This window comes from Homo sapiens, chromosome 2 (genome assembly GCF_000001405.40).
Source record: "Homo sapiens chromosome 2, GRCh38.p14 Primary Assembly".
In the NCBI taxonomy this organism is placed as follows: Eukaryota; Metazoa; Chordata; class Mammalia; order Primates; family Hominidae; genus Homo; species Homo sapiens.
Genome location: NC_000002.12, coordinates 108,968,038 through 108,994,540, shown reverse-complemented (window position 1 = coordinate 108,994,540; position 26,503 = coordinate 108,968,038). Strand labels below are relative to the sequence as shown.

Genomic DNA, 26,503 nt, shown 5'->3' with positions numbered 1-26,503 from the left:
TTTTATAATACTCTTGTGGTTTCCTTTATTAGAAAAACATAGTGATGTGTACTGTTGAGCTAAATGACAATATTACAGATCGTAAAAAAGATTTAGTATTTGAACCTTTGCACTATTCAAGCTCGTAAAGCCATTCTCAGCGAGGATCAATTTCAATTATGTTTTCACTGCTTACATAATGGAGGTGGTGGGGGCCGTCTCAAACCCTGGCTGGGGAGCAGAGAGAGCTTAGGCCACGGGAGAGGGCATGCCTTTGCCCTGCACGAAGCTCCTGGCCTGAAGCTTTCCTTCATCCATGGAGGTGGTTCATTATGGTCCTTCCTTTATGTGACCAGAGTCATTATTGACAGCTGTGTTCCAAATCCAGCTTGCATTTTTAATAAGGTGTCCATGGGGGGAATCCTGGGCAAATGGGAAGTGCTGTGGTCTGGGTGTCTGTGTCTCCCCTGAAATTCATATATTGAAATCCTAAGCTCCTAGGTGATGGTATTTGGAGGTGGGGTCTTTGGGAGGTGATTAGGTCATGGAGGCTAGAGATGGAGCCTCATGAATGGGATTAGTGCCCTTGTAAATGACACCCCAGACAGCGGCCTCACCCCATCTGCCATGGGAGATGACCAGACACTGGGTCTGCTGGGCACCTTGATCTCGGACTTCCCAGCCTCCAGAACTGGGAGAAACAAATGTCTGTTGTTGAGGCCTCCCAGCCTACAATATTTTTGTTATAGCAGCCCAAGCTAAGGCAGGTAGCCAAAGGAAAGCCAGGCTTTTGTTTAATCAGTAGCAGGGGGTCAGTGTTCAAAGTTTAGTTAAATAACTAAATGCAGAATCTCATTCTCCAATAGGGTACAATCAACGCAAAGCCCAGCTCTTTCCTCTGCCTTTGACCTGGAGCTGTCCCATCTGAATTTATGCTGGGGGAGGACAGATCACCCAAGCTTGACAATGGTTCACATAGCATTTCATCTCCCGGTATCTAGGTGACACCCTAAAGGCCCTCCCTCTGTGCAAATACTCCCCCAGACTTAGTCTCTCCCTTTCCTCATTTTGCTAAGGATAGTGGCCCATTTTACTTCTAAAACAAGTTTCCATCATTTTCAAATCATGATATACTTGGAATAGAATCCATACCCTTTTGTCCAGCCCCCACGTGGAATGTGGTCTCTACCACCCTTCCTGGGCTGGGCTCAGCTGCCTCCCAGGCCAGCTCCCTGCTTTGTGGCCACAGTTTCCTGTCAGTTTCCTCAGCACACCTGGCTCTGGGCCCCACAGGACCTTTGTACAAGACCTTTGGTCCATCTGAAACACCTTCTGCCCAACTCTGCAGGACTGCCTTCTTCCTTCGCAAGTCTTGGTCAACTTTCCTTCTCAACAACCAAAGCACCGCCCCTCACACCCCCTTACCCCCACATCAGCTTGCTGGTGTCCGCCGTATCACCCAATTCCATTCTCATATTTTAGGCACATTTGCAAGCCTAGGAAGGTGTGGTTCCTAAGAGAGACTTTAAATCACAAATATTTATATTCCTGTTTTTTCTGCCTATGGAACTGTGACCACATGAGTAGCGGGTGCTCTGAGATGATACTTTAAAAACTAGCTGGCCAGTGCTGAGGAGGGCAGAGCCCTGTGAGGTTACCACTGACAGAGCTGGGGACAAACGCATTTTAGGAAAGCAAAGAAGCCAGGCCAGGTCAGTCCTGGGAGCCACTGTGCCACGAGGCAGGGGCAACGTTCTTCCAGAAAACAGTCCCAGTTGTGGGACAAATTTGAAGCTGCAAACTCTACACTATAGACAGAACTGTGATCATTTTATTCTGAATAACTTAGTGGGTGTCACCATGAGCATAAAAACATTTCATCAAATATACACACACTGTGTTAGGATTTGAGCAATGTCATTTCCTGGAAGGTTTTCTGAGATAGACTTCACCTGCAGGTAACCAGAAGTTTACTTGCTGTGGTGAGTTGTTAGGTGAAACCAATTATATGTCAGGGCCCAGCTGCCAGACAGGAGCATCTTGCTTTTGGAGTGTTTGATTCCCCTGCCACTTTTTGAGACAGTAATTAGTAGCAGGAAACTGTCACCAGCCAACTGATAATCCCCTCACATACAAACACAAATAATCCAGGCATCCTGTGCACCCTTGCTTATCACGGCCAAGAAGTACTTTTCATCTCCATTTCATAACTTGATTACTCTATGCCTCCCCAAACAGAGCATAAGCTTCTTGAGGCCAGCGATTTTGACTGTTGTTCTCATTGTGATCTACCCAGCAACTGGAACAGTACCGGCACGTAGAAGACGTGACGTGCATTTGCTGCATGAATAAACACATGAACATGATGGCATAGGAGAATGCTACTTTGATGGGGTACATGGGTATCAAGGATTTTCTTTCTGCTCACACAACATGAGATTTGTAATTAAGACACAGATTTAAGGTGAGTCCGGTGGCTCACACCTGTAGTCCCAGCACTTTGGGAGGCTGAGGCAGGAGGATCACTTGAAGTCAGGAGTTCGAGACCAGCCTGGCCAACATGGTGAAACTCTGTCTCTACTAAAAATACAAAAATTAGATGGGAGCAGTGGCACATGTCTGTAATCCCAGCTCCTCGGGAGGCTGAGAATCGCTTAAACCTGGGAGGCAGAGGTTCCAGTGGGCCAAGATCACGCTACTGCACTCCAGTCTGGGCGAGAGAGCAAGACTCTGTCTCACCAAAAAAATAAAAGACACAAATTTAAAATCACGATGACCAGAATATGGCTCTGTTTCACTCACTGGAAATTATCTGATCTGCAAGATAATTCTTACCAACCCCTGAGTGTTTTTTACAGGGATGGGAGTCCATTGACTCTCTAAAATCACTTGCGAAGTTTTGTTGCTGCGGAGCTGAGAGCTGGGGCCAGCCTGCCTGTTGTGCCCCTCCATAAGACTCCTGGCCATGCATTTGAGCACACCTCATGAAGGGGGCAGGTGGCTGGCCGGGCTGTTATGTGTAGCAAGCATGTGTTCTAAATTACAATTCATTTGTTCTAAATTACATTCATCATTTCTAAATTTGTTCTAAATTTAGAACACAGCCCCAGGAGACCCCCTTCACCCAACCATGTTCTGCAGTCTTGATTCATTTTCTTACTTAAAAAATGCTATTGATAACCTGTTGCTATTTCTGCCTCAGTCTCTTAGGAAATGTATAAAACAGAAAATCACATATCTTCAAAGCTCTGGAGCTTTACATGATGAAGATAAGCAATGATTTCTCATTTCATTCTTTCTCTTAATCAACTGAATTAATTATATACTCATTTTCATTTGGATATGATGACTAGGCAGACTTCAAGTATAACCATCCATAACCTTGCTTAATGCCATGATGTTTGGATTTTTTTCAAAGAGAGGAAAAAACTCCCTTGGCTTCTATTACAGCATCCATATTTTGTGCCATTTTAATTTTTTCTTGTGTCTTTTTTCTCTCTCTTTGGGAAATATCAGTATCATTCCTTTTGGTAAATTTTAAATCACCACTTAATTTCCAATAGAAAAAATGTTTTAGTTACACCTAAAATAATCCCAAACCTCAAACACACTGTGAGCACACCAGAAAGTAAAAATTATATGGAGTAGAACAGATTAGCCCAGAATACCTCCCATTCATTTTCCCAGGTTCCTAATTTAATAATTTCAGTGACTTTAATTTATCACAGACCCTCAGTCTGAACTCGGCATGAGCAGGGTAGACAACCAAACCTGAAAATTCAAGTTAAAATTCTTGTTTGGGAGCTTATATTATCTAGATTAATCATCCACAAGGATCAAGTCAGCTAAGTAACTCTGGTTCAGCTTAATCTCTGTGGAGGCAGAATTAGTCCTTTACAGTCTAGGTCCTTGCCCCAGCCCCATACATTTCTGTCTGCTTTTTTCTTTTCTTTTCTTTTCTGTTTTGAGACAGATTCTCGCTCTGTTGCCCAGGCTGGAGTGCAGTGGCACAATCTCGGCTCACTGCAACTTCCATCTCCTGGGTTCGAACAATTCTCCTGCTTTAGCCTCCACACATGCCACCACCGGCTAATTTTTGTATATTTTTTTTTTTTTTTTTTTTTGAGACGGAGTCTCGCTCTGTCACCCAGGCCGGACTGCGGACTGCAGTGGCGCAATCTCGGCTCACTGCAAGCTCCGCTTCCCGGGTTCACGCCATTCTCCTGCCTCAGCCTCCCGAGTAGCTGGGACTACAGGCGCCCGCCACCACGCCCGGCTAATTTTTTGTATTTTTAGTAGAGACGGGGTTTCACCTTGTTAGCCAGGATGGTCTCGATCTCCTGACCTCATGATCCACCCGCCTCGGCCTCCCAAAGTGCTGGGATTACAGGCGTGAGCCACCGCGCCCGGCCTAATTTTTGTATTTTTAGTAGGGACGGAGTTTCACCATGTTGGCCAGGCTGATCCCAAACTCCTGACCTCAAGTGATCTGCCCGCCTCAGCCTCCAAAGTGCTGGGGTTACAGGTGTGAGCCACGGAGCCCAGACTGTTTCTTTCTTAAGCTCTTACTTTCTCATGTGTGAGTTACCTTGTAGGTTTCCAAGGCAGAGGGGACAAGATGGAAAAGGAGAACACAGAAATCTAGCCTGGAGGAGCTGCTCTGTTCCTGTATTTATCTGTGTAGGTGTGAATGAGGGAGAAAATGACAAGAGAATGACATTATTTTAAGGCTGTTTTCCCCCCCCCAATCATTTACTTTTTGAGAAATAATTGCCCAATACTGAAAGGTATGTCCTTTCAAAATGTTGATGTTTCAAATGGCTTCCTAATTACCTAGTTATACGGGGGGTGTGTATGGTTATCTGAAGTTACATGGGTATACACTGGTGGTGTGAGGTGTCCAGAGAGAGGAAAGGAAGAGCAGTCCTGGTGGCTCAAACCCTGAGGGATGTGCGGGGGATGGGTGAGAATGTGAACAGACATGTTGGAAGCTGAATCCGTGCAGTGGCACCCATGCCTGTAGCCATCTCAGTGGGGGGTCCTTCTACGAACAAGCTTTGATTAATGATATTTTAATGCTAGTTTAGCTTTTTAGCACTCCCACGCCTAAAGGCTCTGATAGAAGCAAGGCCCCCACCCCTGCAAAAAAAAAAATCCATGATTTTTACGCATTCCAACAGATCTCTTAAGGGGCAGACGGCCGGAGAGCCAGGTGTGCCAGGGACCTATGGCAGCAGGGCTGAACGTGCCCGCTCCAGCCTCTCCAGTGCTGGGAGAGACCTCTAGATGGTGCAGGTGAGTTTGCAATGAGGGAAAGCCCCTCGGCAAGGACTGAGTTTCCAAACTTGCAGACAGGGCAGGGAGCGGTCAAGGAAGAGTTCCCGGGAAGCCCTTTAAACGGAAAGGAAGCGGGGCTAGTGTCAGAGAGGTGTGCCAGGTCCCAGGCAGCCCTGCTGGCCCCTAAGGACATAGAGTACCTGCTTCTGAGAGGGCTGCCACGGTGGCCACCTGTGAAGCCTGTCACCCAGAACTGGATGGTACCTGACTTTCTTCATAGACCCATCTTCTGCTGGGACTGAAGCTGACCTCCAACAGAAGCCAGGTAAGCCCTGGTCCTTTCCTCTGGTTTTCTAAACTCTTCAGCTGTGGCCGAGACGGAGGTGTCATGGGCTGGGAGAGAGGCTGGGTGCATTTTTGAAATGCATGTCATTTTTGGGTTGCGTTTGAACAAGCTTTACCGATTGCAGTATGTCTGCGCTACCAGTTCTAAGACCTGAGATTGTTCCTTTGTTTTAGAAAAACATCAGAAACCCTGTTTTGCTGTTGGTTGCACATTTGGTTAGGGAGACAAATTCTGTGTGTGCTTCACAGGCTTTAAGATTTGGGCTACTGAAGCAACGGGTTCCTCCAGGGAGCGTGAAAAGTATGTTTCTCAGGTTTGCCCCTGTGCCCGGCTCACTGGGGAAGGCAGGCGCGGCAGGGACTCTAGCTGGGCTCTGTACCTGCCTCCAACTCTGCGTACCCGCTGTGACCTAAGAGACCTTCCAAGTGGGGTTTCCAGTCGTGTCTGAGACCCCCCATATCCTGGCCTCTGTGTTGGTGGCGGGGGAGCGGGGAGAGGGAGAGAAGGAGGGGAGTGGGTACCTATTTGTGATGATTGAGGTTTTCATTTCCAGCCAAGAGGTTCCTCTCAACACTCTGACAGACCGTGGGGTGGGTTGGGCTCCTAGACAGGAGTCGGCTCTGATTCAGTCGGCTCTGATTCCCAGCCTCCTGCAGCAGCCAAGCTTTGAGATGTCAGCTCAGGGAGAAGCGGGTGGCTGGGCAGGGAGGTCAGCAGGCGAGGTTCCCACTGGGTTTCCCTGCCCATGTTGTGCTGGGTCAGCAACAAGAGGGACAGTTAAAATCAACAAGCAGGGCAGATGCCGGTCAGTGGGCAATCCCACACAGCCAGGGGTACACGCATGTGAGGAGACGTACGGAGAGACAGGAGCACCACCGTCCTCTTCCCCAGTCCCCAGGCCACTGCTCTGTGGCTCTCAAGTGGCATTTTTGAGACACTTTCTAAGCAAGAGTGAAAGTGTAACAAAGAAGTGAAGAGCCATAATAGACTGAAGGAAAAAAGGGATCCAGGCATCTAAAATAGAGAATGTTTCTTGCCTGGCTTAATACTCTGAGATTTGTAAGTCATAGCCACTTAAAACCTTTAAAGATACATTTTGACAGAGGCCACCAAAAAGAGAGTGACTCTGGTCAAGGCTTGGAAATAAGCGTTCGTTCCGATGACAGTCCACGTGTACCCTTCACGGCTGGGAAAGTTTGGCGATCCTGGTGGCGATTGGCCGGGGGTCTCCACTGTACCCCTCCCCATCCCTAAGTGGGCCAGGCTGTGCTGTGGGAGGATTAATTTGTGACAGCACAGTTGGAGGATAATCTTGGAAGGACCAGTCTTTGGGAGGAAAAAGTAAATACACTTTCCCTGAAATGCTTGATTTTCACTCCCTGGCCACTACCTGGTTTCTTGCTTTTGTGAGCTGGACTTTCATTTTGTTGGGCATACACATTTGTGAAGCACAGACATGTCAGGGGCTCATCTTTGTTTCTCAGGCATCATGGTACCCTCTTGCCTAGCCCAGTGCCTGCCATTGGGCGGCAGCCCAACATTGCTCCGGAGTGCAGACAGACCTGGTCTTACCCCATCTCACGGAGCGCAAAACCTACTTGCCTCTGTTAAATGGGGAGCCTCTTCTAGTCAAAGTTCCTCAGGTCTCATAGGCCCACAGATGGAAGCTGGGTTACCTGACGCTCCTTTCTGGGTCCAAGTGAGTGCGTTTTGTGGTTTCCAAAGAATAGAATTTATTCTCAAGGAAATGCCCAGGAACCCAGCTTCAAAGACTCAAGCAAATCTGAAATTCAAATACAGGAGCTGTAAACAGGATGGTGTTTGGCAGACAGCCTTGCTGCTTAAGTGGCTCAGCCCCTCAGCTGGGCTCAGTTTCCCCTCACCCTCCTCCTAGCCTGCCTAGTGACTGCCTGCATGCCTCAATTATCCTGGATGACACCTGCCTGCTCGTTCCTTTGATGCTGTTTGAGGCTCTGCCTAGGTATTCCACCCACCAATAGTATCATTAATTAACTTACATTAAGCCCACTTAGCACATTAGATCAATTAGGGGACAAAAGCCCCAGCCAGCCTTTCCTGTGAGTATGCCGCCTCCATCTCAATGCCTACGATTCTGTCCTTACTGAATTCGTATATTGCAGGAAGGAATTTTTTTTAAGTCCCAAAGATTACTATTTTCCTAAAAAATAAAGCAAGGAAACATAAGCTGATGTCTAATCATTTAACCTCTGCTGTACATTTCTATGGCACTTTACAAAGCGTTGTCATGAATGTCTTCTCTATTTTCCCAATAAGGAAATTGAGGCTCAGAGAGGTTCACTGTCTTGCCCGAAGTCCCACAGCTCATAATGATTATGGGAACACCAAGAACTGGTCTAGGTTAGCACTCAGTATGCCCAGGCCTCGTGTGGAGCCTGTCACTCATAATTGGAGGGGCTGAGACTAGAACCTGTGTCCTCTGCCTCCAACACTGACACATTTGCCCCCACAAGGAGATGGTGCAATGACAGCCACCAGGGATTATAAAAATAAGAGTGGAGTAAGCAAACACTCCCCCTCCTGTATCTTAGTTTCCCAGGGTCGTGTCAGCCCCAGACACACTCATCTCCTGTCCTCAGAGGCGAGGGATCAAGAGGAAACAGTCTCAGTTTTGTTCTTTGTGAACCCTCCTGATAAAAGTTAGAGTGTTTGTAGTTTTTATATAGTGAAAAAAACTGTCAAATATAGGCCATTGTAGGTGGTTCAGTCTAAGATAGTCTAGTAACTAAAAAAAAACTCAAAATGGCATTTGGGGCTCAGGCATCCCAACAGCCCACTGGCCCCTGAGACAAATGAGCTTGACCATATTTAATTTTTCATCATTGCCCTTAGAGTGTCACAAAGCATTACCCAAGGATAGCTGACCCTGTACAGTCAAAGCTATGAAAAAAGCTTTGCCCTGGGTCTTGGCAGGGATCAGCCATTCATTAGGTCATGTATTAAGGGATCCTACAACCTGAAGTGTCTTCAGTCATAGCACACCCCAAGGACATCATGCACTCCATGAAAATATGTCCAATGAATGAATGAATGAATGGGCTCCTTCATCCTTCTTGTCAGAGAAAGGTCACCAATTGTTCCAATGACACAGTTAGGGACAAGGGGGCTGCTCAAACATCAGCATCCCCTAAGTCAATAAGCAAACAAATCCTAGTTAGCAAAGCTACCCTCTCTGGGGGCAGAGACACCTGTTATTTCTCAAATGCTGGATGCCCAAGGGTGGCAAACACACTGTTTGGACCCCAGGAAGGAGCAGACACATGTGGGTGAAGCTGGAGGTCCTGCTTCCTTGCCCAGATCCTCTTGCCCAGACACACTCTGGAAATGCCCATCATTTTATACACCTACGTACACATGTAACCAGCCAGGATGCCTTTGTTTTCCATTTCCGAGAAAACAGAGGACTATGGAAAACAGGTGGGCCGTAAGGAGCCCTACAGAGGAAGATGCACCTGTGGCGGTAGCCCTGCCTGCACCACCCTGCGAGCTCATGCCAGCTTAACTCACTTCACGGTCAATCAGACCTACTGCTCCAAACACAGTAGGAAGGCGCGCCTTCACTTGTGAGTCGGACGAAATCAGCAATGAGGGCAATAACAACCACAGTCACGTTACTCTTAGTAACAGCCCTGAGGCCCGCAGTGTAGCACAGAAGCCAAGCTTAGTGGTGGGCTTAAGGCTGATGTTGTTAACTGATACCATTCAATAGCTAGATATAGGCAACTAAAAGGTGAGCCCAAATACTGAAATAAGATACAGTATTAGTCTCCTGAAAATAAAAAAGAGTTGATTCTGCCAACAACACCTTAATCCTGAGAGAAAGCACTTTCTTAGGATAGAAGAAAGACATGCAAAACCAGACTGCAAGCAAAAAATGAGAGGGCATGCACTGTTTTGACGACTCTCAGATGGTTACCAAATCTCTTCTCTTAAAACTTCCATTTGCCATATTTCCAATCCCATGTTTGCACAGAATCCTGCATGCACAGGAGGAAGCAGGCAGGATTTCAAGTTGGTTTTAGTGCACATTCATTCATTCAGCAAATGTTTTCTGGGCATCTGCTACATGCCAGGCACCATGCTGGGATGTAGTGAGTAACACAGTGGTCCCATGGGTGAGGAGAGAGAACATCCCTGCACTCACAGAGCTTAGATTCTGCTGCAGGGAGAGAAGCTATAATGCATAAATCCAGCGCCATGAAAAAAAAACAAACAAACTAGCAGGGCAGGTAGAAAGAAGGTGCCCAGGGTAGTAGTGGGGGCCTCTTGGGAAATGAAATAGTTGAGTAAAGACCTGGATGAAGTGAGGGAGTGAACCAGGACACCCGCAAGAAAGGAGGCCCTGGGGTGGGGTGAGCTGGAGATGTCCCAGCACCAGCAGGAAGGCCATGCTGCCGGAGCAGAGGGAAAGGAGGGTTGAACAGAAGGAGAGGAGAGGAGAACCAGGAGCCTGAGCGGGCCGTGGCAAGGGGGCTGGGCTCTCATTGAGGGTGATGGAAAGGCAAACAGAAGTCAAGTCAGGGCGGAAGTTCAGCCATGGTGGCTCACGCCCTGTGTTGTTCTGGGACAGTCAGTGCCCACACCACCCCATCCCATGCCACGCCGGTTGCTGTAATTTGCTTCTAAGGAGCTGGGTCTCCAAGTAGCCTCTTCCTGGGAGAGTTGGCTTGGCTGAGGTGCAGGGCAGGAAGGGCAGGCAGCAGGAAGGGTGGCAGGAGAGGAATGATCCATTTTCACCAACACCTGCTCCCTTGGCCGTTAACACATGCCAAAGGGATCCATTCTGAGAAAAATTATGAAGACCCTAACCTGAAACACATGATTACACTTCCAAAAATCTGAAAGTAGATTATCAAGACTCAATAAGTTGTGCAGAGAAAGAACACTTAGCAACAGACATCGCCGTCGCCCCCCTTGCAGCCCTGCTGGGACACTCCCACAGTCGCAGAGCCACTGGCCAGCTGCACTCGCTTCCTCCTCACTTGGAGAGAGGGACACCTTCCAGCATCGGGTGTGAGATGGAGTGGGGACGCAGTGGCTCTCTGATGGCTCAGTTGGCAAAATTGTTGGAGAACGGGTTCAGAGATCACTGATGCCCTTGGCCAGCATGCCAGACCTGTTCCTGTTGACTCCATATGGCCTTTGGAGTTGGAGAGAAGGTGGCTTCCCTGCCCCGTCCCGCACGGAGCCACCAGCACCTGGAAAGTTTGATTTCCTTCCTCGTATCTGGAAGATGCAGGTCGATTAGGAGGGAAGTCAGTCTGGAGGAGGATACCTGTCTCTGGGAACTCCAGGGCAGTCAAGGCAGACAGATGGATCACGAGGGAGGAGCTGGAAGGGCGGGATTGTTGACTTGATGTCTGGTTGGGGTCTGATGAATACAGGAAAGTGGAAGGCCACGGGGAATGCTCCAGTGGGATGCAGATGTCTATTAAGTTGGCTGATTTTATTTACCCAGTTAGATGTGGTTTTATGGTTTACTGTTTGGATTGAGGCTCTGTGTCCTTGGGTAATAAACATTACCTCTGGCCCCAAAAAATCCTAATCCTTAAAAATATGGAAATGCACTGAGCATCCCTAAAAGGTACTTTAGAGGAGTCTCAAGGTTCATTTTCTTTAAGATTTAGTCCTTAATAAAGACTCAAAATGGCTGTTCCTAAAGCCTCCTGTCCATAATGAAGAAGATAAATCAGAGTGTACACTTTGGGGATGTGTTTGTTGACATGCGGCATCCTCTGCAGAAAGCCTGTATCTCCAAGAAGCGTGGCCAAGGGAGGGCACTGACAGCTGAGTTTAGAGTGGGATTTGTAAGCAGCACAAACTAATTGTGCATCGGTAGATTTGCAGAGTGTGGTTTTCTGTTGATGGATTTCTTTATGGGCAATAAAATCTCCAATAAGTACCATTTACATTCAGCAGAACTCTTTTTGAATTTTAGCTCATTCTTAGAGAGATTTGGAGAGAGAGAGACCATCCCTGCACATGCAGCAGGCACCTGGCCTGTCTGGGTGGCCAGTCCTTGTTCTGTGGCCACTGTGAACCCCGCCAATGTCCTAGTTTCCCGCCAGCACTCACTAAGCAATTTTGCTTCTCATTTTACGGGCAGACGTAACCAAAGCAAGGAGACTTAGGTGACTCGGGACACTCGGTTTTGAGTCAATTCTAAAAACCAGGAGACCAAACTTTCTCTAGAATTACTGCCAGTTGGTTTCCAAATTGAGGTTTCCAGATGAAAATTATTATCCAAACAGACCACACACAGCACTCTGACTTGCCTTCTGTGCCTGGCATGTGCGAGGGAAATGGCGCTGGAGAATATTATCCTGATGATTATCACAGTTGTTGCTTTTGAAGGCAAATATTTATTTTGTGAAGATTGCAAAATGAAGTACAACAGAATGTTGAGCTCCTCCTTATGTTTACAGAATAAACAGAACTGAGACACTGGCAAACGCCAATGTCCCTAGTTCTTAAAGGACTGGCTGCATGCCTCCCACGGCATCAGTTAAAGCAGGAGCCTCTGGAGATGGAGGCCTTTGGTGGCAGGACAGCCTCCCACCAGGGAGGGTCTGAGGCTTCCACCCACCTCCCTGGGTTCATCTCTGTAAACAGCTCTCCCAGTGTGGGCTGGATGGGGTTTGAGGTGGCTGCTTTCCTGTTTACCCTGGAACATTTCTTTGTTAGAGAGGCCACTGCATTTGCTGTAAGACAACGGGCTCTAGATCTTTCTCAAGGCTTTGGGAGATCTAATAGAAATAAAAGACCTGGCCCCTATTCTCATGGCCTAAAGCATTGAAAGGAGGAAATAGGAGAGATAGCCAAATTGCATGGTGCTGTTACTGAGCCGTTAAACATCTGTCCCTGCCGTTGCACTGACTGTGCCCTCTTTGAGGACGGGAAGCATCCGTCTGTTCATTCTCTGGCACCTAGCACAGTGGCTGCACACAGTAGGTATTCAATAAATGTTGAAGAAACCCACATTTATTGGGCATTTGTTGCTTCCTTAGCGTTTCCGTCTTAATCTGCACAGCAGTCCTGTGAAATAGAGACAATCATCACTGCTTCACACATGTGCAGAGTAAGGCTTGGAGAGGTGAGGTGGCTTGCCTGAGACCTCCCTCCTGGTAAGTTCATGGACTTCGCCTTGCTGTCGTTTCCATGGGCTCGTTCAGAAATGAGAGCTGGGATGATGTGGGCTGTTTCAAATTAGCTTGAAGTCTAACCTTGTATCATAACTATCTCGGGTGTGGGGATAGTATATATCGAGCAGAGGTCTAGGTATAGACAGATGTGTGAAATGCTAAACATGGCTGAACTCCCCAGAGACACCTCAGCAGACAGCCCTGCTGGCTAGCCCCGGATCCTGGACAGGTGTTGTTTGGGCTGCAGGATGCTGGGAGCTAGAGCGGAAAATGGAAGCTTCTCTTTGTATCCCCAAGGCCAAGAGCAGACCTGGCCAGCCATTCTTCTCACAATAGCAGTCATACCAGACCTAAGACGCGCCAGACAACTTCAACCTCAGGAGCCTTTCTTCTTCCCTGAAGTTGGGGTGGACTGGTCCTGGTGGGGTTGGACTGGCATGGGCTAGCCACCTGGGGCGGGTGCGGCTCTGGAAAGAATGCTGGCGGCAGGGTGGGGAGGAGCCCAGCCTCAGGTGGACACAGGCCCAGAGCCAGCCCCTTCCCGTGCTGGTGGTGGAACGTCAGATCATCATTGCTGGGTAACTTCTGTCACTTCAGTTCCCCGAGGGAAGGTCACATACTTGCCTCATGGGAATATTATGTGGATTTCCGAGAGCCAAGGCAGGCAGAGTGCTTAGAGCGGGCCGTGAGCACATTGGAAGTCCTGCTCATGCTCTGTATGCACTCACGGGCTGAGTTTAACGGGTCAGCTCAACCTCTGCCTGGCAGTCATTCCCACGGTCTAGTCCGTCAGAGGTCCCTGTCTTTCCTTGGAGCAGTCTATCAATTTGGCCAGGTTTCAAAACACCATGAGGACCCTGCAGTTAAGGGGCAGCTACACGGGGGTTGGTGTGGGGACACAGCAGGCTCTGCCAGCCCCCATGGAGTATGGTGCCAGGTTGGCCACCTCCCCACCAGTGACACCGTGACCCCACTCTGGCCACACTGATTCAAGCTCAGGGCTGCCGCATTTGTTCCCTCTGCCCAAAACGCGCTGGCCCAAGATGTCTGTGTGTCTTGCTCATTCCCTTCAGGTCTATGCTAACACGTCGTCTTATCAGAGAAACCCTCCCTGGCCCCACACTGTATAAAACAGCAGCTCCCACCCCTGGACTCCTGTTTTACCTTTATCCATAACAGTGTCCACTCAACGACTTATACATATGCATGTAATATCACATAAATATATATATGTAAATATATACATACACACATAATATCACATAAGTATTATATATATGTGAATATATATATATTTGAACCTAGAACTTGGTGAGTAATAAGTATTAGTTTAAAATCACGACTTGCTGCTGAGGTGAGCGGCAGGGCGTGCCCACCAGAGCATTAGTGGCAGTTTCCTCCTTGCTCTCCAGAGCCTCCCAAGGGGGCTTTTGCTCTCCTCACCTTCACAGAGGTTTCGGGATGTGACTCACCTGGGCCTCCCTGGGATTCTCTCACTGCAGAACTGTCCGGAATCAGTGAAGCAAATAGGGAAGAGAATGAAATGAGCTGGGGTTAAAGAACAACCAGGAGACCTTGAAATAGTAAAGTATCAGGTTGAGAACAGAGAAAGTGGTGAGTGACTTGCCCAGCCCCCCACCCGACCCCACCCCACCCCACCCCACACCATTCATTTGAACTTGACGATGGGCGATCTGTTAAGTGTGAGTGTGTCCATGGTCACTGATACAGCAAGCTTGAGAGGTGAATGCATCACACTGATTTTCAAGTGAAGAAGCAGAGGCCAGGAGACTCACTTGCACACCTCATCTCAGCCAGGATAATAGAGCCACAGCACCCTGCTTCCCACCGCCCAGCAGTGATGCCAGGTGTCCCCCCTACCCGTGTGCTGCCCGTCAGAGCCAGGCTGGCTGTCAGGGCCTAGCAGGAAGCATGTCATGTCAGATGGCCAAAGTGAAGAAACTCTATTCAAGGGACCCATTTGGCTGGTGACATGCGCCTCAGTGGCTCCTCCTCTGTTGGCTACTGCTGCCTGGACCTGCTCAAGCCCTCCTCTCCTCTGCAGTTCCTGCCATCTGCATCCTTCATGATTAATCTGACCCTGGGTAGGGAGGCAGGAGGGGCTTCTCTTCTCCACAGCCCTGCACCTCAGCAGCATGGCTCAGGGTCTCCAAGTCCCCAGCCGCCACCTGACATGCCCCTAGCTTACTAGCTTGCTTTCTCCAGCCCCCACTTCAGCTCCTGGGGTGTGCCATGCGTGTGTGTGTGTGTGTGTGTGTGTGTGTGTGTGAGAGAGAGAGAGACAGAGACAGAGAGAGAGAAAGAGAGAGAGAGACAGCAACCAAAGCTTGGGATGGGGCTTGGACCAGGCTGGGGGAAGTGGTGGGGCAGGGGGCAGCCCAGGGTCAGCCCCAGCAAACAAGAGTGTTGGAGGAGTGAGGTTCGCCAAATGGAAGAGGCAAATCTGACTAAACTTCTCCAACCAGATGACACCTTTAATTCTGCATGTCTGGGCTCTAAGACGCAGATTCTCCTTTTACCCAACAGCAAGAAAGAGCTGTTCCTTAAGTAAGGGTCAAGTACTCGGGCAGTGGATGGAGAAACACAGTGAGAGGAGGGGCAGCCTTGGCATCCTCAGATGTTTCCACGTTTCCGAATTTTCAGTGAATCTGGTTTTCCACAACACTGAATGTTTTTGAAGCTGGCACCTCTCTGCTTACTGAGTAGATGCCTAATTGGAAATGGAATGTCTGTACTTCACACACTACACCCCCTCCTGCCCCTGCTGAGAACTTTCCCGGGTTAATGGTTTCCTTTTGGAAAGCTTTCAAATGGTCTTCGTTGGAGTTTACATTATCTGCTTCCCTCTGCTCTGTATGTGGATTATTTGCCTGTTGGGTTTAATTTAACCAGATTTGCAGCTGTGCTAACAACTTCATTGGTGCCCTCCTGCTTTCAGAATGGATTTTCCCGTCTTTTCTCCAGCTTACCGATAGACTGTCTCCATACCAAAACCTGCACGGGGTTGGGCATTGTCTGCTGGTGTTCTGCCTCACTACAGAACCTGTTTCCTCTGACCAAACTTCACTGCACCTCAGGTTCTAACTAGGTCTCTCTAATATTTTAATATGAATAGTTAAAATGAATTATTTATTAAAAATCACTGTTAAACAAGAAAAAAAAACTTTTCCTCGGTGCTCTGAACCTCAGCCTCCTTGGGAGGATCTGCATGTTCCCTAAGCCCGTGGCTCCCTCGGAGCTCTACCCTCTAGAAATACGTTGCAAAACTCTTGAGGCGTCTAACAAATATGACAAGCCCACAGATTAGCAAAGACACGCAGAGTCGACCAAGTTTGATATTTTTGTTTTTTTACTGAGCTTTTTGTACTTAATAGGAGACCTGGCCACCTAATAAGATGGTGATTATTGGAAACCACAGAGATGTAATCAGATGTTCTAGACATGGATGGTGTATTTAACCCCTTGAAACACTTCCACGCCCTGCCTGGATCCTTTTCTGCTTCATAGACCAATGATGAGTTCCTAAAAGATATGCACGTCTATCCCCAGTGAAGGCCGTAGCTCAGCAGGCCCTGTACTTGGCATTACAGGGGCGGGACCTGTGTAGCCTTGCCCTCTGGGGCCCTTTGCTGGTCTTCCTACCCTGGGCTCTTCCCTATGTCAGTGCCATTTGTCGGGAGAAGGAAGAACGACTTTGAACCGCAGCCCTGTTCTGTGGATGAAGTTGGCTGGAGTTCCTCTACGAGAATAGAAGCTCCCTGAGGAGTTTCATCTGCATCCACAGAGTCCATAGATCCTGCCTATAGATAAGAGAATAAGCAAATGGCTGTTGTTTCTTTACTGTGTCATTTAATATGATGTCTTGTGGTTGATGAAGGCTTAAAAAGTGTGTGAACCAGAAGTAGAACAAGAAAAGAGGGTGCGGCTCTCAGCAGGAACTGTCCTGAGGTGGCTGTGGGTCCTTCAGACACTGAGGCCTGTTTCCACCCTCAGCTCTGAGGCCTTCTGTTCACTGAGGAATCTCCAGGGCTTTGTCAGCATTTGAAACAACAGTGACTCCTAGTGAGAGCCGGGTCCCAGGAGGGAGGACGTCCAGATGTCCCCAGTCCCTCCTCACTCCAAGGAACAGTCTTCCACTTCAGGAACACTCAAAAAAGGCGAGCTCCTGGCCAGGCTCGGTGGCTCACGCCTGTAATCCCAGCACTTTGGGAGGCCGAGGCTGGCGGATCACGAGGTCAGGAGATCGAGACCATCCTGGCGAACACAGTGAAACCGCGTCTCTACTAAAAATACAAAAAAAATTAGCCAGGCATGGTGGCGGGTGCCTGTAGTCCCAGCTACTTGGGAGGCTGAGGCAGGAGAATGGCGTGAACCCGGGAGGCGCAGCTTGCAGTGAGCCGAGATCGCGCCACTGCATTCCAGCCTGGGCGACAGAGCGAGACTCCATCTCAAAAAAAAGAAAAGGCGAGCTTCTCAGGAGCCAAGCTGAGAGGCCACCAGATCTCCCGGCGGCAAAGGCAGTGCTGATGGTCCATGGGGTGGTCAGGGGTGCAGGGCCTGTTGGCACCCTTTAGCCTTAGCCATCTAGGAAAACCCAGGCCCGGGCCAGTGGGGGCCACTGGAATCATCAGTGCCTCCTTATTGGCGTCCTGATCACAGCACAGGTGTCTTTCTAAATGAGAGCTTGTTCTTTCCAAACTGGGAAGTCAGAGGTATTTGGGGCACCCTCAGACACCTTTTCATCTTAGCATTTGTCAGTCCTCACTGTGCACCCAGATCTGGGATTCTAATGCCAATCTCCAGTGAAAGGAACCAGGACTCCTTGGAGAAGTGGCTGACTCCAGAGCTGGGGCAGGGAAAATACAAGAGGAGCCTGGAGCACCTTGTAGTGCCAGAAAGTAAAGAGGTCCTAAGAAAAGAAAAAGAAGAAAAAGAAAAAAAAATGGTAGTATGTCTAAGGGACACACAAACCAACTAAAAGAGCTCCCAGTCACCATAGCTGAGACAATTTGAGCAACAAAATAAATAATGTAATATTGGGTTATAACCCAGAGTTTAAAATAAATACCCATGTGTTCACACTGACAAATAAATAATGGACGGATGGACAAATACATAACAGAGAAGAGGCAGGTCTCCCGTGCAGAGGAACTCCAGGTAATTCATGTAGATGCTGTGCCCTTGAGGAGGTTAAACGGATAACTCCCTCCCTTAAGTGTGCGCTCCGCCTGGAGACTTCCTTCCAAGGAGCACCGGAAGGAGTCACTTCAGAGTGGGGAATCCTGCCAGTCACTGCTTCATCCCAGTGATCAAGGCCAGCATCAGCAATCCTGAGCCATGCTGGTAGCATGGACCCTTCATGTGATGAGAATGGCACATTGCCTCTGTGGTCTTCCTCTCAAACCCATAGCCCCAGTCTGTCACGAGAAAAACATCTGACAACTCTCAGTTGAGGAGGATTCTACAAAACACCTGTCCAGTGCTCCTCAAAACTTCTGAGTCATCAAAAACAAGGCAAGTCAGAAATTGTCTTGTTAGCCAAGAAGAGCCTAAGGATGTGTGATGATTAAATGTAAAGTGGGATCCTGGATGGGATCCTGGAACAGAAAAAGAACGTTAGGAGAAAACTAAGGACATCTGAAGATGTATGAACTTCAGTTCACCAGTATTGCACCAGTATTTGTTCATCAGGGATGACCACTGTATTGCATCATGTAAGATCCTAAAAGGAAAACTGGTGTGGGGTCCCCGGGAACACTCTGTATTGAATTTACAACTTGTCTATAAATCTAAAACTGTCCTAAAGCAGAAGAAATCCCTTGTCTAGATGATTCAGTCACCCTCCTCTTTGCCCTGCCCTTTCCACCATCCACAGAACGCCGTCCAGCAGTTGAGGGGTGGCCTTGACTTCTCGAGCTCGTTCAGGAGTGACCACAAGACATCCTGATGCCGCACGGAGCCTGGCCGACAGTGCCACCCTTCTCTTGCTGGACCAATGAATTTGTGTCCTCATGTCATTTCCTCCGACCACCACAGGGCTCTGGCCAGGGGCTTCGCAAGCTCCTTAGCTCCCAGACCGCACCCCTGTTCCCCCGGCTCTATTTTAGGCTTATTGGTGCTGGCTGCCTCCCCAAAGCTGCTGCCCTGCTTCCAGTGCTGGGGTAGGAATGAGCTGAGCCTACAGTCCACCCACCCACCTCTTCTCACTCCGGCATCCATCTGGTCACCAAGCTACCGCGGGTTGACCCAGGCTAGGGTCCCAGGTTAAAGTAGACGCAGGTCTTGCTCTCATGTGCTGGCGCTATCCATGTCTCGCCGGCCCATGCTCCAGCCCTCTCCCTGATGCTGTGCCCAGGGCTGAGCTGCACCCACAAGCTCCCTTGCCCCCAGCCTCCAGCTGGATTTGACCCATAGAAGACACGGGTGGGAACCCAGGCAGGAGCATGGTGGCCGGCAGGGGATTTACTCTGCACCTTTCTGCCTGAGGCCGCAGCTGCTATCCCTGTGTTCAGATCCTCTCTCTCCTTTGCCCCTTCCCACACAGGCTGGACTGCAGCTCCTGGAGTGCTGCACCATCATTTGCTCCCCTTTGGACCCTGCCCAGCACCCTCAGACAGGGTCCCTGCTGCACTCGCCCCAGGTGGCACTTGGGGCTAGGCTCCGTGGAAAAGCAGATTCCACAATGGGGCCGTGGTTTCCCAGGCCAGGTAGAAAGGCAGTGCTTGCTGAGGGGACTTGCAGAATGGCTGCCTGAGAGGCTCAGGGGTTGATGGGCTCTTCCTTCTGACTCCTGAATCTCCACCAGAGCCCTGCACACCTCAGAAAGGCTAGAGCTCCAGCATGCAGACTGCAAGTGTTGTGGGCAGGCCTGGTGAGGCAGCTCGGGGTGGTGGGAAGAGCTAGACCCCAGCTCTGCCATTTGCTGGCTATTTCAAGTTCCCTCTACCCTCTCAGTTTCAGTTTCAGTTTCTTTATCTGAAAAATGGGAATAGTATCTTTTTTTTTTTGAGATGGAGTCTTGCTCTGTCACCCAGGGTGGAGTGCAGTGGCGCTATCTCGGCTCACTGAAACCTTCGCCTGCCGGGTTCAAGCGATTCTCCTGCCTCAGCCTCCCAAGTAGCTGGGATTACAGGCACACACCACCATGCCCAGCTAATTTTTGTGTTTTTAGTAGAGATGGGGTTTCATCATGTTGGTCAGGCTGGTCTCCAACTCCTGACCTGGTGATCCACCCCCCTTGGCCTCCCAAAGTGCTGGGATTACAGACGTGAGCCACCATGCCCAGTCATGTCTACTTTTCATGGTGTAATCATTAAGATAATGTTCATAAACAGGGTACCATCGTGTCTAAGACAAAATACACAGTCAATATGTGGCATTTCTTTTTTTTTTTTTTTTTTTTTTTTTGAGACGGATCCTCGCTCTGTCTCCCAGGCTATAGTGCAGTGGTGTGATCTCAGCTCACTGCAAGCTCCGCCTCCCGGGTTCATGCCATTCTCCTGCCTCAACCTCCCAACTAGCTGGGACTACAGGCGCCTGCCACCACGCCCAGCTAATTTTTTGTATTTTTTAGTAGAGACGGGGTTTCACCATGTTAGCCAGGATGGTCTCGATCTCCTGACCTCGTGATCCACCCACCTCGGCCTCCCAAAGTGCTGGGATTACAGGCGTGAGCCACCGCGCCTGACCAATATGTGGCATTTCTATTTTTCTTATTATTTCTATTTGGAGAATGAATGGACAGGATGGTCTTACTCTCCTGGAAGTGGATTGTTGAGCCTTTTGTGAACAAAGGTGATGCTTACAGCTCCGTAATTGGTTTAAAATGGGTAAGAGCCTTGTGCTGAAAACCCTGTGATCCTCATCTTGAATCCCAAGAAATGTTGTTATTTACATAAAACCAAAAGTCTGTGGGGCATTCAAAAGTTGAAGGGCCTTTGAGAACTCTGATGATGTTTTCGTTATTGTGAGATGGAAGCCAAGCTTGTGGCTCCAGCCAAAAAATTTCCAGGTTTTGTAGTCGGTGTGGAGGTCAGAACAGGCAGCGGTCACCATGTGTGGCATGGGTTCTAGGACACACGACCCCTGGAAAGTGCATTTCTCCTTCTGTTCTTCCGGAGGCAGCCAGCACCCTGCAGATGAGGGAAGAAGTCATTGAGGATTCCAGGAGCCACACTCACAGGCTGGAAATGTCCATGGCAGTCAAGAAAGAAAGATTCTGCCAGGGTTCAGGCCCTTGGCATCCTCAGGTACTGGAAAGCACTGGAAAGCAGGAGAAATGAAGGCAGGAGGCAGCCAGCACTGCACTGAGCCCAGACCTCCCAGGTCTCAGGGGCTGATGGCGGACACTCTCTCTGCACCGCCCTCCTGCCCTAGCCAGCCCCCTGAGTCAGCTTCTAATGGTCTGTCTCACAACTTGCAGGGAGGCGGCACTATACACACATGCTGAGGCCAGGTGCGGTGGCTCATGCCTGTAATCCCAGAACTTTGGGAGGCCGAAGCAGGCAGAACACCTGATGTCAGGAGTTCAACACCAGCCTGGCCAACATGGTGAAACCCCATCTCTACTAAAAATACAAAAAATTAGTGGGACATGGTGGCGGGTGCCATTAATCCCAGCTAATGGGGAGGCTGACGCATGAGAGGTGCTTGAACCTGGGAGGCAGAGGTTACGGTGAGCTGAAATTGCGCCACTGCAGTCTAGCCTGGATGACAAGAGTGAAACTCCATCTCAAAAAAAAAAATTCAATTAAAATAAATAAAAAAATAAACACCTGCTGAGACCTCTTCCTAAGAAATTCTTTGGACTTGGAGCACAGGTTGCCTTGTTCTGGGCGTGCCCAGCTCAGAGAGCTCTAGAAGAAAGTTCAAGAAGGCAAAGAGGAGAATCCAGCTAGCCAAGGTTGGGGAGGTTGGAGGAAGAGTGAACGCCCCTGCCGGAGGCCCCCCGGTCCTCACCCCCTTCTGAGTCTCAGCATCTGCATGGGCTGTGAGCCATTGTTTTGTGACTGACAAATCAGATGAGGGCTGCTTATTTTTCAAATGATCACGTCAAGTTCTCTGATCACAGCCATAGCTACAAGGCAAGCAGAGTGGGGAAGACACCCGTCACCCTTGTGCAGACACTTGTTTTACCAACACTTGGCGTGCAGGGCAAGGCACCAGCTTCTGAACCCAGGTCACCTACAATCTCTTTTTTCCTAGGCTGCCTCGGCCCGTTGCAGCCTGACCTTGCCCTGCCCCGGCACTCCCACAGCGGGCAGGATTGGAAAGGGCAGTGTCTGGCACGTTGGCATGAAAGCCAGCCAGGAGGGTTGGGCAAGGGCTCCAGGGCCCGTGAGGAAGGAGTGGAGACCACACCATGCAGTGCCCTGCCCCTGTTTTGATTTGGTCATCATTGTCTGTGTTCAATCCTAAGCTTGTCGAGAACTGGGCCGGCATGGCTATTGAAGTTCTGTGGAACAGAAGTTGGTCTCTTACAGGGGTGTGGCTGAAACAGCAAAGGACTGGAAGGCGTATTAGTCATCTGTGCTGTGTAATAAATGACTCCCAAATGTAACTGCTTAAAACAACAAATGTGACCATCCCACAGATTTTGAGGGTCAGGAATCAGGGAGCGGCTCCGCTGGGTGGTTCTGGCTCAGTGTCCTTCCTGAGGCTGCAGTCGGCTGGGCTGCAACATCTGCGGGCCAGGCCAGGCTGGAGGACCCACATCCAGAGGCCTCGCAAGTGGCTGCGGCAGGAGGCCTCAGCTCCGGGCCACGGGAGCTCCCCACGGCTGCTCCTCTGTTGCCCCTATGTGACTGAGCAGCAGCCACGGCACAGCAGGAAGCTCAGTGCCTTTGGTGACCTGGTCTCTGTAATTGCACCGTCTCTTCTGCCCTTTTTTCTGTTGGCTAGAAACGAGTCACTAAAATCCAGCCCGTTCACACAGGGAGAGGAATTAGGCTCCACCTTTTGAAGGTGGTATCAAAGAGTTTGTGTATGTGTTATAAACCACAACACCTGACTTCTAATGCCAACTCCTCTTTAACTTCTGTGTAACCTTGGGCAAATTGCTCTAAATCTCTCAGCCTCAGTTTCTTCTTCCATAAAATGAGAGAGCTGATCCTATCTCTAATACCCTTCCTCTCAGCCCTCACACCCTCACACCTTCATTCATTCTGGGTATTTATTTACTAAACATTTACTCAGCTCTCTGCTAGAATGCCTGGGGAGTTTCAAAAAGACTGATGCCTGGTTTTAAGTCTCCCCTAGTGATGCTACTGTGCGGGCAGGGTTGAGAGTCCTCCTTCTGGAGTCATAATCTGAAAATGTGATTTGCACGCAAATCACCTGGGGGTCTTGTTACAATGAAGATTTTGATACTGGAGGTCTCGGGTGCGGCCTGAAATTTGGCATTTCTAACGAGCTCCTGGGTAATGCAGTGCATCCCAGGGACCACTCTTTGAACTCCTCAGAGCCAGTTTCTAGATGCTGGAAGAAAGGCGCAGAAATATAAAGATATAAAAATATAAAGATGATTCCCACCCTCATGGAACAAGGAATCCAGTTGGAGACGGAAAACATGTAGCCAGCACCATCAGGGTCTGACCGCCTGCCCAGGATGTGGTCCAGGCACCAGGACTGAGTCGGAGGGGGTGAAGAATCCCCCAGTGAGCACGGTCTCGCCGGACCCTGTGATTTCCCCACCACCAGCATCATCCCCTGTCCCCTCAGGTCCACAGCAGGACACAGCATCAATCCAGATCCTTCTGTGATCTTTGGAAGTCTTCCACAAATTAGGTTGTTTTGCTGAACGGTAGTTATTTCCACAGGGAAAGAAAAGAATTAGCAAATCTATCACTTGTATTTGTTCAGTCCTGTAGACTATTCCCCAGGTTAAACATTTGTTTAGTGAGCCTGCTTTTATTGGCACCACAAACAAATTAAAGTGTATTTTCCGAACTTATCTTCAGGGTGTAAAATTCCAGGCTTATGGAAATTCTAGTAAAATAGCTTTTAAAAAACCATCATCTTAGCTTTTATTCTTTCTACCTTATGGTTTTTCTGTCTTCTCCAAAGGGCCCTCTTCCCATCCCCTGAGCAGGAAGGAAGTGAAGTATTCCCACAACCTTAGACCTTGGTCCCCTGCCCCACCCTGGTTATTCTCTGTGTGGCCTGCCTGCAATCCTGTCCACCTCCCTGCCCAGTCAGGCTCCCTGGGCACCGTCCAGAGGCCCCAGCTCCCAGACCATCTCCACTCAGTGTCCTGCCCTCCTTGTGTCTCAGTATAACCAAGGCAATGTCAGGATCCTCCTCACTTCATATCTCAGCCTCTGAAACAGACTCCTAGGTGAACTCTGGGCTCCCAGGTTCTCTTCTTGCTAACCTTTACACACCATTTGCAGATTAATAGTCCTGAAATATTTCCTGCATCCTGTCACTGACTCCAAACATCTCATGTCTCCTGGTGTCGTAAAGAAGCTTCTTTAACTCAAATGCGTACCACCTGGGGTTCTGCTAAAAATGTAGATTCTGACCCACTGGGCCTCGGGTAGGGGCCTGAGATTTTCCAGCTCTGAGGAGCTCCCAGGCGATGCTCCCCTCTCAGTGCAAAGCTCAAGCAGCAAGATTCTGCAGGATGAGGCCACACTACCCATCCGTCATTTTCCACAGGGGAAAGTGTCTTCTTAGCCAGACTCATCACGTCATCCAGATAGCCAAGGCTCAGACGTCACCAAAGCCTGTGCTGGGCTGGCTAGACCCTCCATTAGCAATTTCCCCACTTTTAACTGTGTTTAAAGAAATCTGAGTTGTATGTTCTTATGACCCAGATTGAACTCTGGATTCTCCTGAAGCCTTCTCTAACTCAGTGATTCTTTCACCCCTTTTTGGATCCCTGCACAAGTTAGCTCTTCATTGCACACTGCCTTGCGTTGTTATTAATATTTTGGGTTTTCTTCTTTTACATGTTTCTGTCTTTCCAGCTAGCTGCTGAAGCCCCTGGGACTGCAGCTCACACTCCTTTCACTTCTTTTATATTTCTTTCAGCACTGAGATGGTGCTGTGCCTTTAGTAAGCACTTAATAAATATCTTTTCTTTAAATGACCCAAAGCAAAATTCCTGTACTTAATGAAAAATTAGTTTGAGAAATAAAGGGAATAAAAATGAAATTGAAACAGAATGACCCCCATTTTACAGCCCTCCCTGAATAGCATATAAAGGTCTGCTTCATGCCAACATCCTCACTGAGTCCTCGGGGCCAGGACCTGTATGCCTTTGGAGGCCTGGCATGGTGTCTGGCCCCATAAACATTTGAAAAATGCTTGATTCGTGAGTTCATTAATCGTTCTCCTCTCACCGGAGATACAACCATCCGAACTTAGCCAGCACATACAGATCAATAGCAGCAAGAACAAGACCAAGAAAGTGGGTAATTTCAAATAAGGTCTTGGAAAGACAGAATCAAAGTGCATATCTAAAAATAGGTGGGGTGGAGGTTGGAGCTGAGGGCAGAGAGAAGAGCAGGAAAAAAAAAAAGAAGGTTGTCAAAGCCAGGGTTCAGCTGCTAGAGATCAAGACCAGCCATAGAGCAGAGGTGCCTTCTTTCTTCATCACCCTTGTTGAATCCAATTCTCAAGGAGCTAAAACCATGACTGTCACACAACGTAAACTGACTGTGCATCAGGGACTCATTCAGCTCCTTAATGAGGGATCCCTTGAGGTGGCCTTGCTGATTCCGGGAGCTTCTGAGGAATGGAATAAGTTAGGATAACAAAACTGCTTAAGGTCCCACAGAGCAGTGAAGTCTTACAATCTTTGTGGTTGTCTTTTTTATCAGGCTAAAATCTGCAAGCTAACATGTAACCCTACCGTGACTGGGCTTTGGCCAAATAGTGCATAGCAGAGTGAAGCTCAGGTACACGCCCCTGGAGATGACATCATCTCAGGCAGGCCTGAGTCCCTGGAAAGCTAGTTTCCTTCCACATGACCTTATTTCCTAGTGTTCGATGGCTTTTTGTATCAGCATCAAGCTTTAACCCAGGGCTACCCAGAGTAAAGGGGGCAAATTCTGTGCACAGCAGTGCAGAAGAAGGTGCCAGCTCACTTCTTCCCTGGTAGCTAGGAAGAAAAGAGAACACCATGCCTGTGATCAGGAGGCGCCACAGACAGACTGGTCACCCATGCAGCCTTGGCTTGCCCTCTGAGTATGCCTACCACCCTTCTGCTCCAATTCTCAACAAGCCAGAATATTTCTGTGGGATCTGTGTTACCTCATCCTGGTTAGAACTGCTGGGGACAAACCTCCCCATAATGAACAGAAAATGCTACATCCCTGGTTTGCAAAACTTCAACAGTCAAAAGGATGCATGTACAATTATTTTTCTATAGGGATGCATAATCCAAAAAACAAAAAAAGGCTTGAAGACCTATGAGCTAAACCATTCCATCTTAAATGTTGAAGTATGTCTGGGTCAGCTCTGATTTAGTAGATCTAGGGGGCTCCAGGTTCTTCATTTCCAACAGGCTCTCTGGCGATGCTGATGCAGCTGGTATGTGGACCCCACTTTGAGAAGAGACAGTTTCCACTAAAGTGAGAACAATGACGGCGCCTTCCCCAGGTGGTGGCTGTGAAAATCAGGTGATATTATCCCTGTGCAGCACTCAGCTCCATCCCAGGGCCTGGGACTGAGGCATTCTTGGGACAGTGGGCGC

The 26,503-nt window shown here is 48.9% G+C and overlaps 2 protein-coding genes across 3 annotated transcripts in view, besides 3 other annotated features; one reads left to right on the top strand and one right to left on the bottom strand.

The window, feature by feature from the left end:
• The window catches only part of RANBP2 (RAN binding protein 2), a 1,122,820-nt gene that overhangs the window by 847,761 nt on the left and 248,556 nt on the right, over positions 1-26,503 (bottom strand). The window lies entirely within an intron of this gene.
• Positions 5,321-26,503, top strand: part of EDAR (ectodysplasin A receptor) — a 94,750-nt gene continuing 73,567 nt past the window's right edge. For both annotated transcript variants that reach the window (NM_022336.4, XM_006712204.2), the window contains exon 1: positions 5,321-5,581. The gene's annotated coding sequence lies outside the window, so the exon portion shown is untranslated. The remainder of the gene's footprint in view (positions 5,582-26,503) is intronic.
• Positions 6,347-6,848: an enhancer, noted in NCBI's record as "H3K4me1 hESC enhancer chr2:109604149-109604650 (GRCh37/hg19 assembly coordinates)". NCBI's record gives its function as "activates a minimal SCP1, AML or CMV promoter by ChIP-STARR-seq in naive H9 embryonic stem cells {active_cell/tissue: H9 hESC(naive)}" and the evidence as "EXISTENCE:reporter gene assay evidence [ECO:0000049][PMID:30033119]".
• Positions 20,665-21,164: an enhancer, noted in NCBI's record as "H3K4me1 hESC enhancer chr2:109589833-109590332 (GRCh37/hg19 assembly coordinates)". NCBI's record gives its function as "activates a minimal SCP1, AML or CMV promoter by ChIP-STARR-seq in primed H9 embryonic stem cells {active_cell/tissue: H9 hESC(primed)}" and the evidence as "EXISTENCE:reporter gene assay evidence [ECO:0000049][PMID:30033119]".
• Positions 21,561-22,760: an enhancer, noted in NCBI's record as "CDK7 strongly-dependent group 2 enhancer chr2:109588237-109589436 (GRCh37/hg19 assembly coordinates)". NCBI's record gives its function as "activates an origin of replication core promoter dependent on BRD2, BRD4, P300/CBP, MED14 and CDK7 cofactors, with strong dependence on CDK7, by STARR-seq in HCT116 cells {active_cell/tissue: HCT116}" and the evidence as "EXISTENCE:reporter gene assay evidence [ECO:0000049][PMID:35650434]".